Source organism: Homo sapiens, chromosome 17, assembly GCF_000001405.40.
Source record: "Homo sapiens chromosome 17, GRCh38.p14 Primary Assembly".
Taxonomy (NCBI): Eukaryota; Metazoa; Chordata; class Mammalia; order Primates; family Hominidae; genus Homo; species Homo sapiens.
Genome location: NC_000017.11, coordinates 22043921 through 22061612, shown reverse-complemented (window position 1 = coordinate 22061612; position 17692 = coordinate 22043921). Strand labels below are relative to the sequence as shown.

Here is a 17692-nt window from a genome sequence, read left to right as displayed (position 1 = left end):
TGACACCAAATTTGCTAAGAAGTAACACCATTTTACATTCCCACTGGCAACTTACGTGGGTACTGGTTTGTGCACATTCTTGCCTTTACTTCATATCATTTTTTCATTTGGATATGAAATAGTCTTCTCTGTGGTTTGGAAGGAGGCTGAGCTTATTTTCATTTGTTTATGGGTTATTTGGGTTCCTTATGTGCATTGTTCATGTCTTTTGTCTATAGTCTCCTATTTTGTCATTGAAATTTTTAGGATTCCCTGAAGTCCCTTGTCAGGTATGTGTATAGAAGATTTGCCTAGTTTGTGGCCTGTCACTTCACTTTTAGCCCAGTATCCACTCTAAGTGTACACTAAGTGCATTTTTTTCCCCACATTTCGAGTCTCACTCTGTCACCCAGGCTGGAGTGCAGTGGTGCGATCTTGGCTCACTGCAACCTCTGCCTCCCAGGTTCAAGCGATTCTCCTGCAACAGCCTCCTGAGTATCTGGGACTATAGGTGCTATAAGTGCTTTTAATGTATTCATAAAGTTGTACAGCTATCACCACTCTCTAACTCTAGAAGATTTTTATCGTTTCAAAAAGAAATTCCATACTTACTAGCAGTTACTCCCCATTTCCCCCTTTCCCCAGCCTCTGGCAACCACTAGACTATTTTCTGTCTCTATGGACTAGCATGTGCCAAATATCAGAAAAAACAGAATCATATGTGACCTTTGGTGTTTGGCTTCATTTGTTTAGCATGTTGTCCTGATTCATCCATGTTGTATCTTGTCTCAGCACCTCATTGGTTTATATGCCTGAATCCCATTGTGTGAGTTTACTATGTTTTGTTTATCCATTCATTAGTTCATGGATATTGGAGTTGTGTTCATTTTTTGACTATGATTAATAATGTACTGTGATGAGATTCATGTACTCGTTTTGTGTGGATGTATTTTTGCAATTTTCTTTATATATCTAAGAGTGGGCATATGGTAAATCTATGTTTAAATTTTTTGAAAAACTTCAAAACTGTTTTCCAAAGTCTCTGTACCATTTTATATTCTTACCAGCAGTGTATGGAGGTTCCATTTTTTCCTACCTCCTTGCCAACATCTGTTATTTTCCTTTTTTTAAAAAAAAATAGCTATTCTTGTAGATGTGAAGTGGTATCTAGTTGTAGTTTTCATTTGCATATCCTTAATGACTAATGATGTTGAGCATCTTTTCATGTGCTGATTGGCCATTTGTATATCTTTTTAGAGAAATCTTCATTTAGATTGTTTGCTCATTTAATTGGGTTGTCTTTTTGTTATTCTAAGAATTCTTTATATATTCTGGACATTAGTTCTTCATCAGATGTATGACTTAATAGGTATTTTCTCTCATTCTGTGGGTTCTTTTCACTTTCCTGATAGTATCCTTTGATGTACAAAAGTTTTGAATTTTGTTGAAGTCCAGTTTGTTTTTTCCTTTTGTCACTCTTGCATTTGGTGTTGTATCTAAGACCCATTGCCTAATTCACGGTCACAGATTTATACCTATGTTTTCTTCTACAAATTTTATAGTTTTACCCCTTATATTTGGGTCTTTGATCCTGATAGTGTTTTTCTGGTGAACAGAATTTGTTTAGGTTTTATATGAAAACCCACTGGGGTTTATTAAGGTAGTTTTACTGTATTATTTGTAGAAGTTTTATAGTTTTGCTTCTCATCTTATTCTTAATCCACTGGAAACTACATATTGTATAGTCAGTGTTCATTTATATTTACTCAGATATTTGTCTTCTTAAGTGCTCACCATTTCTTCTCACAACTCAAGTCTTCCATCTAGGGGAACACCCTTCTACTGAAGAACATCTCTTAGAATTTCCTTTAGTGAAGGTCTCTTAGTTAGCAAATTCAGTATTTGTTTGTTTTTTATGACTTAAATATGTCTATATTTGGCCTGTTTATTAAAAGATATATTAATTTCATATGTGATTGTTTTTTCTTAGTACATTGTCTTCTTGCTTCCATTTTTAAGACATTAGCTCTTGGTCTAAGTCCGTATTCTTTCATGGATAAACTGAATGTTCTCTCTGCTTATTTTCAATATATTCTTTTCTTCAGGGTTCCATTATTTTTATGATGATACATTTAGGTGTTTTTTTTCGCCTTTTAAATCTGTCCAACTTGAGCTTCCTGAATATGAAGGGTGGAGTTTTTCATCACTTTGGGAAAATTCCAAGCCATTATCTTTTTTACAAAACCTTTCTAACGGTTTATTGTTCTACTTATGAAATCCTGTTAGTTGTAATATCACTCTTGTCTTCCATGTCTCTTGTTTCTTTCTTATTTTTTTACTTCTTTGGGCTTCATTCTAAGCAATTTCTTCAGCCTGTCTTCCAGTTTGCATCTTCCTTTTCAATTATATGTAATCTGCTGTCAAATCTGTCTTCAATTTCAACAATTATGTTTTTATTTCTGGAATTTCTGTTTGGCTCCTTCTCAAATCTGCCTGGTCATTTTTTAAAATGTTTTTTTGCTTTCATTGAGTTGTATTAAATTTTTATTATATACCCAACAATTCTAATGAAGTCTTTATTGGTTTGATTTTGCTGAGTCTCTTTTCTTTTGTCTTTATTTTCTTTACTTGTACAATGTTAATAATCTAGTAATAACACCAACTAAATCACATGATTGTTTTATGAATTGAGATAATGAATATATTGCATAATATATGGTACATAGTAAATGTACATGCAATCCATTATAATAATTAGAAATAATGAAATATAATGTATGATTATTAGGAAGTGTAGCAGAGCCACAAATTTTATTGAGCGATATAAAAGACAACTAGAGAAATATGCCATAGCTGGATGGAAACAGTAATAATAATGTTGTGTGTTCATCTTGGACTAAATCATGTCTCATACAATTTCAATAAAATTCCAATTAAATTTATTTTTAAAACATGGCAAATACATTGTAAAGTTAAAGTAAAAGAACAAACAGGGCCAGGCTCAGTGGCTCAAGCTGTAATCCCAGCACTTTGGGAGGCTGAGGCGGGCATATCACAAGGTCAGGAGATCGAGACCATCCTGGCTAACACGGTGAAACCCCATCTTTACCATAATACAAAAAATTAGCTGGGCGTGGTTGCAGGCGCCTGTAGTCCCAGCTACTCAGGAGTCTGAGGCAGGAGAATGGCGTGAACCCAGAAGGAGGAGCTTGTGGTGAGTGGAGATCACGCCACTGCACTCCAGCTTGAGCGACAGAGTGAGATTCCATCTCAAAAATAAAATATAAAAAGAAAAAGAATTTGTGTCTTGTTTCCTCATTAATGTTGGTTGAAAGCATGTTTGCACTTGTCTTTGGCTTGTGTTTTCTTAACATCGATTGGCATATTAAAAGTCCCTCTGAGCTTACCTTCTCTAAAAAAATGTAAGAAAAAAGGCCTGTGGGAAGGACTATGAGGCAGAGGGGCTGGTGTGAGCACATGCTGGGCAGGAGGAAAGAGGTAATGACCAGGTCCAGGGAAATCCCCAAATCCAGCAGGTCAGGGAGCCAAATGAAAGCCTTTCATCCTGTATTGGCCACCTAACCCCATCGACACTCAAAGTGAGCATTCTCTCTTAGAGATACTCATTGTCCTGTTTTTTCTGTAACCTTGCAAAGGAATCTGATTTCTCCCATTAGCCTTTCACAGGACAAAAATTTCACATTAGAATGCTATTCTTTAGAAGGCATCTTCTTAGATTAGGCTGCAAGGAGATTGAGGAAGTTACTATCAGTCACTTATACCCCACAGGGACATTAATTCACCAGAGCTTTGGTGGGGGAGTAGAGGAGCTCATTACAAGCAGGTCTGGATGCTGCACAGAGTGTAAAGGGGGCAGAAGGATCCAGGACACCTAGGCCTGGAGACAGCGCCAATGCTGGGAGGTACCGTTATTATCCCCATTTTACAGAGGAGGAAACAGACACAGGCAGGTAATGTGATCAAGACCACGCTGCCCCGCAGTACAGGAGCCAGGATCTAAACCCAGGCAGCCTGCCTTGCCATCAGAGCTCTCACCCATAACCTTGTGCTGCTATTAAGCAGGATTGCCCTGTGGCCAGGGGCACAGCTTCTGGGTTCACGTTCCAGCTTCTCTACCATTTCCAGCTGTGTGACCTTGGGCAAGTTAGTTGTCTGTGCTCAGTGTCCTCTGCATAGTGGGTGTAGCAATACCTGCCTCATGCAGTCCCTTAAGTGAGTTAACAGCTGTAACATGCTTAGAATGATGTCATGCCCATCATCACCATCCACTACATATGGGCCATCATGCCTGAATCCCAGATGGACACATATCCTTGAAGGGTCTAAAATCTAGGATCCTGAAATGCCTGGCAGTGGGATCCTGAAATCCTCTGGCAGCATTCTAACATATTTTGGCTGCAGAGTTGTACCCTGTTTCCCGGGGCTAGAAGGTGTGGGATCAGCTGTTTACTCAGTTCAGCCCCAAAGTAGGCAAAGAAGGTTTTGTCACAGGCTTGCCTGGGGCCCAGCCCCTGTAACCTCCCCTTGTTCCTCCCTTGCATGCTCCCTCACCCATGTTCACACATGTACTCCAGGCCTTCTGGGCCCCAAGGGAAGGAGAGAGGGTGGGGAGTGGGTTCACTGGTCCACCGAAGCATGCTGCCTTCAGCCCTGCTGCACTGGTGGGTCCAGGGAATGGGCCTGGAGCTGAAGGGGTCTTGCCCTCCCTTTAACTTTAAGCCTTGATTTGCAGTGATCCAAGAGCTTCATCTCTTCCTGTGAGCCTGTCTGGATGTTTATGTTGGATGGCACAGGCCCCTTCTGGCAGGGGTGCACAGGCCAGGGCCTGGCTGGCAGCCATAGCAGCTGAGGAGACTTTGGCAGACGAGAAGACCTTCTGCTTCAGCTTCAATGTATGAGTCTTCTCCTGGCTCTCAGTACATTCCTCCTGAGCCATGATGGGCCCCAGTTCAATGAAACCTTCTGTGGCAGCATCATGGTATCCAGGGGTATAATCTGGAGCATGTGCCAGTGCTACCCCAAGGTATGTGGTTGTAGGGCTGAATAGAGCCAGAAGGGCTGGATCTTGTACCTCTCTTCCATGTACCAGCCCCATCCTTCAATCATCTTGTTATTTTCATTTTGAATCCCTGTTTTATTCTGTCTTCTGAGCACCTATCCATTCATTTATCCATTCATCCATCTATTCATCCATCCATTCATCCCAGCATCAATCTATCAATCCATGCATCCATCCATTTATTTGTCTAACCACCCACCCATCTATCTGTCTATCATTTAGCATAAGGATTGATCAGAAGCCTCCTGGTTCTGGAGCCATAGACCAGACACCATGGGGAGACATGATGAAAAACAACATATGATTTGTGTGCTTGAAACAGAAGCTAATGAGTGCTTACCACCTGCCTGGCAGTCCTGCATTCAGGGTGCAGTTCTCCCCTCATCCTGAGCTTTTTGGTACCTTCTGTAGTTTCATTTTGTACTAGAGAATGCTGAGCCTCATAAAGTGGGGTCACACAGCTGCGTAGTGGAGTTTGGATTGGAGCTCAGATGTGTGTGATTTCGGCATCACCCTCTGCCTTGAGTCCGCCACTCCAGGGTCTCAGAGCCGCTGAGCATTCTGGGGTTGGTCAGCTCTAACCTTGGTGGCATGCATTGAGCAACTCTCCATATTTTGGAGTCTTAATGTATTCCTAGCCTTAGTGATGGCAAGGACCCTGCTTTGAGAGACCTGGGTTCTAGTTCCAGTCCTGTCCCAAATTTTCTGCGTGATCTTTGTCTTTCTGACACAAGCACCAATTTTCACAGCCTCATAGGGGTATTACAGAGGTCAGAGAAGATAAGAGATATACGAATATTAGTAGACTGTAGAGTGTTTTGTTTAGGTGAAGGGCTGTCAGGTCCTGACAACCCTCTGGAATGAACATGTCAGAAGTTGTAAACCTTCAATGCCCAGAGAGGTGGAGTGCCTCTTCCAAGGTCACATAGCTAGTCAGAGACAGACCTAGGGGAAAAAAATGAGAGAAACACAGATTCTCACTTGGGCTCTGTCTCTAACTGCCTGGGAGACTCCTCAAGCCCCTTCCCTCTCTAGGCCTCAGTTTCCTTGTTTTTACAATATGTGAGACAGGATGAGGGGATGGATGGGGAGGATATCTGGGGGCCCTGCTAGAACTCACCTCTAGGGCCCAGGCTTGGGAATCCCCAGAACCCCCATATTGTTCTTTACACCTGGGTGGCTGTGCTCAAGGGCTCAGGGAGGGTGAACTCTTGCGGCCCTGGACTCCCTAGCCCTTCCCCTTCTGTGGGCCCACCGTGGGCTGTCAGCGTGTTAGGTGCTGGAATGGTCTGAGCTGGTTTGTAGTCATTTCCGAGGCAGTTTTATGGCAACCTCACCTCTGTCCGTGCCATGTCCTGAGCAGAGGTCCTGGGGAGAAGTCCTGGAGGCCAGAGCCACCCATGTCACCACTAGCCACGGTAGTCCTCTTTCCTGTGAGGAGGCTGCACCCTGGGAGATGGCATTGGGTGGAATGGAGCATCAGTCCTGACCTCCCCGTTAAGCAGAGGTGGCTCTGGGACTGTGGGCAGAGATACTGGAGTGGCAGTGGGAAGCGAAGTGGAGGAGGAAATATTCCTGGCTACTAATGAGTCACAGTTGATAGACTCATGGCTTCATGTGCTTTGGAGGCAGTGTGGTGGGGTGCAGATGGCTTATGTTTTGGTGACCTACAGGCTTACATTCAAATAGCTGTTACCTCATGTTCCACGTCTGTGACCTTGGCAGGGGGAGCTCCTCAACCCCGAACCTTGCACAGCTGAGTGGGAGAAACCAGAGGGGTCTTTTGTTGTCAGGGACCTGGCATCATGCCTGGCACAGAGCACTTGCAAAATCTTCATTCTCAAGATTGGCATTTGTAGCTCTGGGGGATACACAGAGAGGTCTGTGTATGTATGGGCAGGTACATGTGGATAGGTGTGGGTCGGTTTGTGTGTGTGGGAGTGCATGTTTCAGGGACACAGGCTATCAAAGTCAGCACAAGGTGACTCCAATAAGGGAAGGGAAGAAAGCGTATGGTAAACCAGGAAGACACTCTAGAGATGAGGCTTCCTGCACCCCACATGATCTGTTGGTGCCTGTGCCATTGTAGCCTTCAGTGCTCATGCTTGTCCTACCCTCAGGGTCCTCCCCTGTCCTCCCCTGGATCTCAGTGCCTGGCTTGTGGAAAGCTTCAATAAATGGGGAAACATAAATATAAAGGAATATAACTAGCTAATTAGGGTAATTAAGTGAGGAGTAGCCATTTCCAACATGCATTAAGCTGTCCCTGATTTTTAGGGGCTGGAGGTCTAGTGAGAGAGACAATTTGCAGCATGATGGGGAGGAAGTAGAATTCACAGAGAAGGTGAGCTTGGCTTTGTAGGTTAAGTAGAAATTCACCAGGCAGAGAAGATGTAGGAAGATGCTCCAGGCAGAAGAGCAACAGGATCAAAGCCATGTGGTGAAAGAACAAGGCAAGTGGGTCAGCAATGCTACTAGAGGGGAACAAGTCAAGGTGGAAATGGAGGGGCCTTAGCTCCTCAGTGCCTGGGGTGTCATGCTAAGGAATTTGGATCTTACCCTTTAATCAAAGGGACAAGGGAGGGACATGTCCAGGTTTGCAGTTTGAGAAAATTGTCAGGCTGATACCTGGAAAGAGGAAGGTCTGGGACAGCGAGACCAATGGGAGGCTTCTCTGCTCAGGTGAGAGATGGTGGTCATCTGGATTAGGCAGAATTTGAACCCAAAGCTGTAGGAACTGAGAAGACAGTTCCAGTTTACCATATGAGGAGTACCTGCTGTGGCTGGCAGGGCACCAGCACTTCTACCCAGATTATCTCATTAAAATTCTAAAATAGACCTGGTCAGCTCTGGAAGCCACCTGGGCCTCAGGCATGAGAGAGGAGGAGGAATTGAGGCAAATCTAGTGGGTGGGTGCAGTTGGAGATGCTTAGCCTATTAGCAAAGATGGGACAGGAAAGTGGGGAGCAGGGAAAGGAGTGGCAGGGAGAGTGAGGCCTTTTCCTGCCTGGCTGCAGCCTTTACCCATAAGCCTCCCATTCCTCATTCCTGCCAGATCTGCTGGACCCAGGACCAGGACTCTGGTTGGTGTTGAAGGTTCTGTCTCCTCTGTGGGCCTCCCTCCCTCTGCTTCTTCCTTCTGAGGACTGCTCAATGTTCTGGCTAAACAGGAATCTGACTGCATACTCTCCTGCTGATAAATCTTCAAGGATGCCTCTGATTCTCGGCAAAGCCTGAGCTTCTTAGTTTTATGTTCTGGGGGTCTCCATTGTTTGATATCCCCTCCCCAGCTTCAACTCTGCCTGTTCCTCCTCATCAAAGTACCTGTATTTTAATATGCTACCTCCTCTCCTTTTCCTCCAAGATTTTCATAATTGTGGTTGTGATGATGATGATGATGATGGTGAGGATGGTGATGGTGAAGGTGGTGATAATGATAGTGATAGTTATGTTGAGGATGATGATGAGGATAGTGATGGTGATAATGTTGGTGATGGTGAGGAAGGTGATGGTGAAGGTGCTGATGATAGTGATAGTTATGCTGAGGATGATGATGATGATGGTGAGAATGGTGAAGGTGAGCATGGTGATGGTGATGATAAGGATGGTGATGGTAAGGTGATGATGATGAGGATGGTGATGGTGAAGGTGGTGATAATGATAGTGATAGTTATGCTGAGGATGAGGATGATAATGGTGAGAATGGTGAAGGTGAGCATGGTGATGGTGATGGTAAGGATGGTGATGAGGTGATAATGATGGTGATGGTCAGGATGGTGATGGTGAAAATGGTGGTGGTAATGAAGATGATGGTGATGGTGAGGATGGTATGCTGAAGGTGGTGATAGATACTGATAGTTATGGTGAGGATGCTGCTGCTGATGCTGGTGAGAATGGTGAGGGTGAGACTGATGATGATAATGAGGATGGTGATGGTGAGTATGGGGATGGTGATGGTGCACCCCTTGATTTGGCAATTTGACATCTAAGAATTGTTCATTTCTTCTAGGATTTTTTTGTGAGTCAAGACTTCCCTATGCTGCCCAGGCTGGCCATGAACTACTGGCCACGAGTGATCGTCCCACTTTGGCCTCCTGAGTAGCTGTGATTACAGGAATGAACCATGGTGCCTGGCTTTACCCTAGGAATTTATCCTGAGGAAATAATCAGACAAGTGTGCCAAGCGGTACTTAGAGAAGGGTATTTATTGTTGCATTGATGGTAGTAGGTAAGATGTGGGAAGAATGTAAATGTCCAGCAATAAGAGATTGGCTAAATAATTGTGCTACAGCTAGGCAAGGGGCTGGCTTATGGCCATTCAGAACACAGACCCTCCTGATTGAGTCAAATCTCCTGTCACTGCTCTCACACACCACACAGCTCCCTCCTTTTCAGCACAAATTACAATCATAATTTTACATTTCTTTGTGAACCTCTTTGATGACTTTCTGTATCCCTCATTAGATGCTAAGCTCCATGGAGGCAAGGAGTATACTATGTTCATTATTGTGTCCTCCATGCCAAGTTAAGTTCCTGGAACACAGTACACTCTCAATAATTTGTTGTTAAATGAATGACTGAATCTGTATTTCTTAGTATGGAAAGATGTTTGAAATATGCAATTAAGAGAAAGAGCACATCATAAAATAGCATGCATGCTGTAGTACACACTGCTAATTCCCTCCTTTCTTGATCTTCTTTGGGTGACCACTTGTGCACTCTCAGTCAATAAATTATGATTGATCCAAAGTCAATCATGACAATGCTATTCTCTACTGCTAGGGATGGTCATGAGATCAGGTTCTGGCCAATCTAAACACAGATTTCCAGACCTAAAGAGAAATCCTCTGGGGGTCACCGCTGAAGTTCCTGCTTTTCTAATAAGAATACAGAAGTGACTGCTTTTGCTGGCCTTGTAAACTCATGTAGTGGTTGGAGCTGCAGTAGCCGTCTTACAGCCATGAACTAAATTCCAATAGACTCACAAAGATGCTGGGCCTAACACTGTTGAACCAGTGAACCATAGCCAGGAACCATAGATACCCTAACTATGTAAGAAAAATGAACCTGTCTTTGTTTAAGTGACTGAACTTTCAGATTAATGCACTCCCAACAGATACAGAGCATGATCCCATATATACCTGTATGTGCAGATATGAATAGAAAAATTATTAAAGTGATTATCTCTGTGTGGTAGGATTCTCCTTCTTTTTTTATTTTATAAAGTTTTCCCAAAGGGCATGTAAATAATAATCAGACAAATATTTCTGTACATTCAGAAAATAAACAATGGTACTAATTTTATTTTTAAAAAATAAACAAACTATTGGGGCTCCAGAAGGTAGTTCACTACCATATGATAAGTTAATTAGCCACGACCGAGATGAACACTTGTGGGTATCCTGGAGGACAGGTTCTGCAGCAGTGAGAGGTCCCCTCCAGAACAGTATGTGGTTCCAAACTCCTGAGGGAGGCGGGGCAGACCCCAAGGAAGTAGATGAGAACCTGAGTGAGGCTCTGTGGGGAGAGAGGATGTTCCTCAGTCCTCACAAGGACATGTCAGTTTCACTTGAGATTAGGCCCCGGCCTTGGCTGGGCAGCCTGCCAGGCAGGTTCTCAGCAGCATGGGGTGATAACAGGAGGAGGGGAAGCCTGGCAAGCTGGGGCAGCTCTGGGGTTTTCAGGTGGGGCTGTCTCGGGCAGCAACTGTGTTGGCTGTAAACACAGATTTCCAGGAAGCAGAGTGTTGCAATCTCTCCCACCACAAACCTGGACCATCAGGGATGTTTCCATAGCAGCATCCATGCCAGTGAGAAATCTGGACATGATCTGTGATCCCCTCTCCCACTTTTCCTTTTCTCTTAGAATGGGACAGAGCAGCCTGGAGCAGCTAGTGTCCTGTAGTGACTCCAGTTTGCTGCTCTCTTCCTTATCTTCTTCCTCCTGCCCTCTGTCTCCTCTGCATCCTTCACCTTCTACATCAGGAAGCTCAAGTCACCGGGCTGAGCCAGGGCTTCTCATCTAAATCACGGAGTGCCAGTCAATGCCTCCCTTCCTCTTCCCAGGGAGCAACTTCAATCTTCCCTGCCGCCATGGGGAGCTAGACCCTGCTCCTTATTCCCTGTGGGACCATCCACAGCCTGTATCCTCACCCCTGTAATGGCACGACAGTCCTCCCTGCCCACTGACAGTGCTAATTCCAGGCCAGGGGAGCTCCTGGGAAAATCACCAGTGTGGGTGACACGGTGGGTGTTTGTGTGTGTGGAGGGGTGGGCTGCCACCTGGCCATTTACAGACCCCATCCTTCCTCTCTCCCTGCGCTTGTCGCATGTCAGGAATCCCTCTCCTTTGTGCCATGAAACACAAGGCATTTTCAGATCCATCATCTCATTGAGCCTTGCATCTCCTTGGTGAAGTTGGAGTTATCGTCACCATTTTACTGATGAGTAAAATGAGGCTCAGAAAGGGGAAAGTCACTGCCAGGGTTCCGCTGTGGACTTACAGCAGAGCTGGGATTAGGATGCGGGTTCTGGATTCCTTGTGGGGTCCTGGCCCATCTGCAGCTAAGGCCTGTCTTTCTGCTCCCATGAGGTCCTTTTTCCATTCCTTTCCTCCCCATGACAGCCACTGTCACCACCACCCAGGGTCTGTGCTCACTGTCACATCACCCCTCGCTGACCCCTGCATCTGGGCTGGAACCCGCCATGTCCATCAGACGGATTTTCCTCAATGGTGGTTGGGCTCCAAATCCACTCTTCCCAGACTGACACAAATTGCACTACAGGGGGCTGCAACTGTAGGCGTTTCTTGTCTAGAGAGAGATGGTCCCATAGAAATGTCAACATCACTTGGTGAAGAGGAGAGTGGAAACACAGGAGAAAGTTCAGGGAGTGACGTCAGGAGGAGGTGGCCCTTGAGTTGGGTCTTGAGGGATGTGTGAGAGTTACCAGGCAAGGAACGCTGGGAAGGGCATTCCAGGAGGAAAGAGCAGCATTCTCCAAGGCTCAGACTGGTCTGGTGGCTACAAGGTAGAGTTGGGTGACCTGGACCCCTTGAGACAGTGCTCCCTTTTCAGGAGGAAATCTGCAGTTCCCATACTTGGGCTGTCTCAGAGTCCCCCAGAGATCTTGGGAAATTCCTGGGTCCAGTTCCCAGGGATTCTGGTCCAGGAAGAGGAATCTGTACTTCTCACAGGCAGGGGCTGTGACCTCACCCCACAGTTCTGATGCAGTTGGTCTCCAGATCACTCTTGGAGAAATACAAGCAGGACTGAGAGGCTTTGACCTGTGCTCCTCACCTATTCTGGGCCCTTTTCCCGACTTGACTTTGGGTAGTGGGTGAATATAGGCCCCAGGTGGACATCAGGGCTCAGGTGGACATGCAGGCTCCAGGTGTATATCAGGCCCCAGGTATATACCATTTTCCTGGTACGTATTAGTAACCAAGGGGACACTGGACTCCAGGTGTACATCAGGCTCACAGGTAGACACCCAGGCCCCATATGGACACCAGCCTACAGGTGAGCATCAGGCTGCAGGAGGATACCCAGGCCTTAGGTAGATATCAGACCCTGTAAGGACACCAGGTCTCAGGTGGACATCAGGGCCCAATTGGGGACTCAGGTTCTAGGAAGACACCCAGGCCTCAAGTAGCATCAAGGCCAAGGCGGATACTAGACTCCAGGTGGACATCAGGCCCTAGTTGGACACTAGGCCCTAGGTGGACACCTGGGACCCTGGTGACCATCAGGCCCCAGATTAACTCCAGGCCTTAGGTGAACATCTGATCCCAGTTGGATATCAGACCCCAGGAGAACATCAGTCCCCAGGTGGATATCAGCTTCCAAGTTGACATCAGGCCACAAGTGGACACTGGACTTGAGGAGTACATCAGGCCTCAGATGGACACCCAGGCCCCAGGTGTACACCAGGCTCAGGTGGAAATAAAGGCACAGGTAACACCATGCCCTAGGTGGTTACCTAGGCTTCAGGTAGACATCAGACCCCAGGTGGTCATCAGGCCCTAGGTGGAAACTCAGGTCCCAGGTGCACATCACGCTCCAAGTGGACACCCAGGCCCCATGGTGATACCCAGGTTCCAGGTGGGCACTGGGCCCCAGATGAACACCAGGCTCCGGGTGGATACCAGAACCTGGGTGGACACCCAGCTCTGAGGTGGATATGGGCTCCAGGTGGACATCAAGCCTCAGGTAGATATCTAGTCCCCCGGTGGACATAAGGCCCCAGTTCGACACCAGACCCTGGGTGGATACCTAGGTCTCGGGTGGATGCATCTCCAGCTGAACATCAGGCTCCAGGTGGACACCCAGGCCCTAGGTGAACACTAGGTCTTAGGTGGACATTAGGCCCCAAGTGGACACCCAGGTCCCAGGTGGACACCCAGCCTTAACATGGACATCGGGCCCTAGGTAGACAGCAGGTTCAAGGTGCATATGAGGCTCCCGATAAACACCGGTCCCCAGGGAGACCCTTGTCCCCAGGTGAACAGCAGCACCCAGGAAGACATCCGCCTCCACCTGCACATCATTCCCCAGGTGTATACCTAGGCCCTATGGGAGCACCAGGCCCCAAGTGAGTACATAGATCCCTGGTGGCCATTAGGCACCAGGTTGACACCCAGGGCTTAAGTGGACATGAGGCGCCAGATGAATGCTAGCCCCCAGGTGGATAAATAGGCCCCAGGCATACATCAGGTGTGAGGTCTGTACTCAGTCTTCAGGTGGACACTAGGCCCCACGCAGACACCAGACCCCAGGTGGATACCAGGCCCTATGCAGACACCAGTCTGCAGGTGGACAGCAGGCCCCAAGAAGACGTTATGCCCTGGGTTGACACCTAGGCTTCAGGGGAACACTAGGCCACAAGTGGTCACCTATGCCCCAGGTGGACATCAAGCCTTAGTGGAATTCCCAGTCGCCAACTGAACATCAGGCCACAGGTGGCTGCCCAGGCCCTAGGTGAACACCAGGTCTCGCGTGGACATTAGGCCCCAGGTGGACAGCAAGCCCCAAGTGAATACCTAGGTTCCTGGTGAACATCAGGACCCAGGTGGCACCCAGGCCCTACACTCAGGCCAAAAGCAGAAATCAGAACATATGTGGACACTCGGGGCCCAGGTGGCTATCAGGCCCCAGGTTTATATCACTTTCCTGGTAGACATCAGTACCCAGGTAGATACTGGACTTCAGGTATACATCAGGTTCCTAGGTGGACACCCAGGCCCCAGGTGGACACCAGCCTACAAGTGGACATCAGACCATAGGAGGACACCTAGGCCCCAGATAGATATCAGACTCCAGAGGAACACCAGGCCTCAGGTGGACATCAGGTCCCAGGTTAATTCCAGACCCCAGATGGAACTCAGGCCCCACCTGGACACAAGTCCCTAGGTAGATACACAGGCCCTGTAGGCCCTGGGGAACATCAGGCCTTAGGTGAAGTTCTAGGCTACAGGTGGACATCTTGCTCCAGTTGGACATCTGGTCCCAAGTGGACATCAGTCTCCAGGTGGACACAAAGTCCCAAGTTGGACATCAGCCACCAGGAGGACTTTAGTCCTCTGGTGAACACCAGCTCCCAGGTTGACATCAGGCTACTAGTTGACACCTAGGGCCCAGATGGACATGTGGCCCCATATGAACACTAGTCCCCAGTCAGCTGGGGCCTGGGTCCACCTGGAGCCTGAGGCTTAGCTAGAGACTGGATATCCACCTGAGGCCAAGGTATCTACCCAGGGACTGGCGTCAAAGTGGGGCCTGATATCTACCTGGGGACTAGGTATCCACCTGGGGCTTGATGTCCACCTCGAGCCCAGATGACTTTCTGGAGTCTGATGTCCACCACAGGGCCTGGGTGTCCATCTGGGGCCTGGTGTTGATTTGGATTCCAGTGTCTACCTGGAACCTGGAGCCATGTTGTCCACTTGGAGCCTGGAGTTTTCACCTGGGGCCTGGTAGACATCTGGCCCCAGTAAACATCAGCCTGGGGCCTGGTTGTCCACTTAGAGCCTGGAGTTTTCACCTAGGGCCTGAAGATCCACTGGGACCCGGGTGTCCACCTGGGACATCAGGCTCCATGTATACACCCAGGCTCCAGGGTACAACAGGTCCCAAGAAAACTCCAGACCATATTAAACATCAAGTCTCAGGTGGATGCCCAGGCCCCATGTGTACACCAGGCCCCAGGTAGAGAGTGGACGCCAGCTGAACATCCGCCCCAAGGTTGACACCCATACTACAGGTGGATATGAGGCCCCAGGTGAATACCTATGCTTCAGATGTGCATCGGTCCCCAGGTGAATATAAGCCACAGATAGACATCAGGCCTCAGGTGCACATCTGGCTCCAGGTAAACATCAGGCCTTAGGTGGATACCCAGTCCCCAGGTGGACATCATAGACCAGGTTGACACAAAAAAATCCCAGTGGGTATCATGTCCCAGTGGACGTCCAGGCTCCAGGTAAACACCCCAGCCCCACTGTAACCATAACCACTGTAACGAGAAATGGTAGGTCTAAGTACCAACCATCATGCTCCTTGCTCACAAAAGGATGCTTAGATATTTTATTCAAAATACAACACCATTCATCACTCTGAGCAGCGATGTATAGAAAGGAAAAGAAAAATAAACCAGCCCTCAAGGAATCCATCCAAAATGAGGTAGATATTATAAGAGACAGAAATCCCCAAATGAAATGTTATAGTTGACATAGAATAGTCTTTAAAACCCATTAATTTTCTCGCACATTTGATACAAAGCATTATTTCTAGAGACTGAACCTAGAAAGAATTGCTTAAGACTAGGAGTCTTGTTCTGGCCTGGATCCCACACTGTTGAACATCTATACTTAGTACACCACATTATACATAGCACTGACATGACCTGTGTGCATTTAATTTTCTAATACTTGTTCATCTCTGGCATACTTCATATATATATATATAACATATGTAACATACATACATACAAGTACACACACACACACAAAAAGTATATAAGGTTAGGATAGTATAATTGTGCAGTAACGTTTCTTGTGAAAGTGGTGGAAAGTGGATTGGGTTGGCGACATGCTGGAATGTGCTTCCATTGGCAGAAGTAAGGCTTTCAAAACTAGTCGTTTTCATTTTTCTCTAGCAACTGGGAATATTAATAATCGAAGACGTGTTGGTATAAAAATAATCATAATAATCACAATGAAGTGGTGTTAATAATTATATCACAAGATATAATAGACATTATAGATATTATAAGATGTCAAAAAAAAGAAGATGCCATAAAATCTTTGAGATGATTTATACGTTAAATGCGGCCTCCTGTGCTGCCCTGGGGCGCCACTCTCGCTGGGTTCTTGGCAGTGCTCACCCTACTCCACCTGCTCAGCCCATGCTCCTGCGCCCCCAGAGTCACGCCATGGGAGCCAGGACCTTGCTGCGGCCCTAGACAAGGACAATGAGGAGGGGGTGCACGTGGAGTCCCCGCGGATAGGCTGGACGCCGGGCAGGAGCCTTTGCGGGGGTGCACAGCCTCCTCTGGAAGCCCTGGTTGCTGCCCGGTGCCTGCTGTGCCCTGCGAGCTCCGCGGTTGTGGAGCCAGGCCTGCACTGCCTGCTCTCGGCCCCGCCTGCGGACCCTCTGCCCTTTGTCTTGCCCCTGGGGCCCGGGGCCTCAGCTGGCCCAGGGTTCCTGAAGTTAGCTGACGATGGGCTGGCCTCTGGGACTGGGTCGTGGGCCTTGTGCACTGGCCGCCACGTCACCAGCGCCAGGCTTCCCCGCGGTGCTGCTGGAGATGCGGGATGCCCGGGCTCGGGCTCTGCTGGGTCCCCTGGCGCTGCGAACCCTGTCACCTTCTATCGCGGCCACCATGCTGCCCGCTGGTCAGCCCTGGTCTTCAGACTTCCTGGGACCCCTCCGGCACCAAGGAGGCATCACTCACAGCCGCTTGCGACACCGGGGCCGCCTGAACCTCCGCCAGGGCTGCGCCGCGCAAGTGGCTCCAGCCAGCCAGCCCTGGCCCATGAGCCGGACTTTCGGCTCCCCGAGATGATCGCCCTCGGCAGGGATACACGGCTATGGAGGAGGCAGCGGATACCTTCCAAAGTTTGTGGACACTCTTCTGCCACACCAAAAGTTTCACCATCAGCTGCGATGCCGACTCGGGCGCAGAGACCACTCCGGGATGTGGACCAGGCAGTGCCTTTGCTGGGCATCCGCAGTGCTGACCACCCCAAGTGCAGATCCCCACTTCGTGTTCCTCCTACTCCACATTCCACATCCAAAGTTCTCTCACCATTTCTAAGCAGGAGAAATCAAAAGAAACTGTAATCGGAAAGAAAGAGAGAGGGAGAGGGGGCAAGCTATGCGCCCAAAAAAAAGAAAAAAAAAAAAAAAAAAAAAAAAAAAAAAAAAAAAAAAAAAAAAAGAGCAAAACCTTTTGGAAAGCATAAAACGCCCCAAAGCCAAAAACTAATTCTTATCTCTTTTAAACCTTCTGTACTTCTCCAGTGATGAATGATTTATTTTTTTTTAACCACTGGCAATTCATAATTATTAACTTCTCTGGCATTAATGAATAGAAATTGAATCACATGTGGAAGTATAATTTGTATTATATGAAG

General features: G+C 47.3%; 1 pseudogene, besides 2 other annotated features; it reads left to right on the top strand.

The window, feature by feature from the left end:
• Positions 10367 to 10567: a silencer, noted in NCBI's record as "peak2767 fragment used in MPRA reporter construct". NCBI's record gives its function as "represses an SCP1 promoter by STARR-seq MPRAs in K562 erythroleukemia cells {active_cell/tissue: K562}" and the evidence as "EXISTENCE:reporter gene assay evidence [ECO:0000049][PMID:32103011]".
• On the top strand, positions 16395 to 17318 carry LOC100287309 (abhydrolase domain containing 15 pseudogene; annotated as a pseudogene).
• Positions 16877 to 17439: an enhancer, noted in NCBI's record as "H3K27ac-H3K4me1 hESC enhancer chr17:21561832-21562394 (GRCh37/hg19 assembly coordinates)". NCBI's record gives its function as "activates a minimal SCP1, AML or CMV promoter by ChIP-STARR-seq in primed H9 embryonic stem cells {active_cell/tissue: H9 hESC(primed)}" and the evidence as "EXISTENCE:reporter gene assay evidence [ECO:0000049][PMID:30033119]".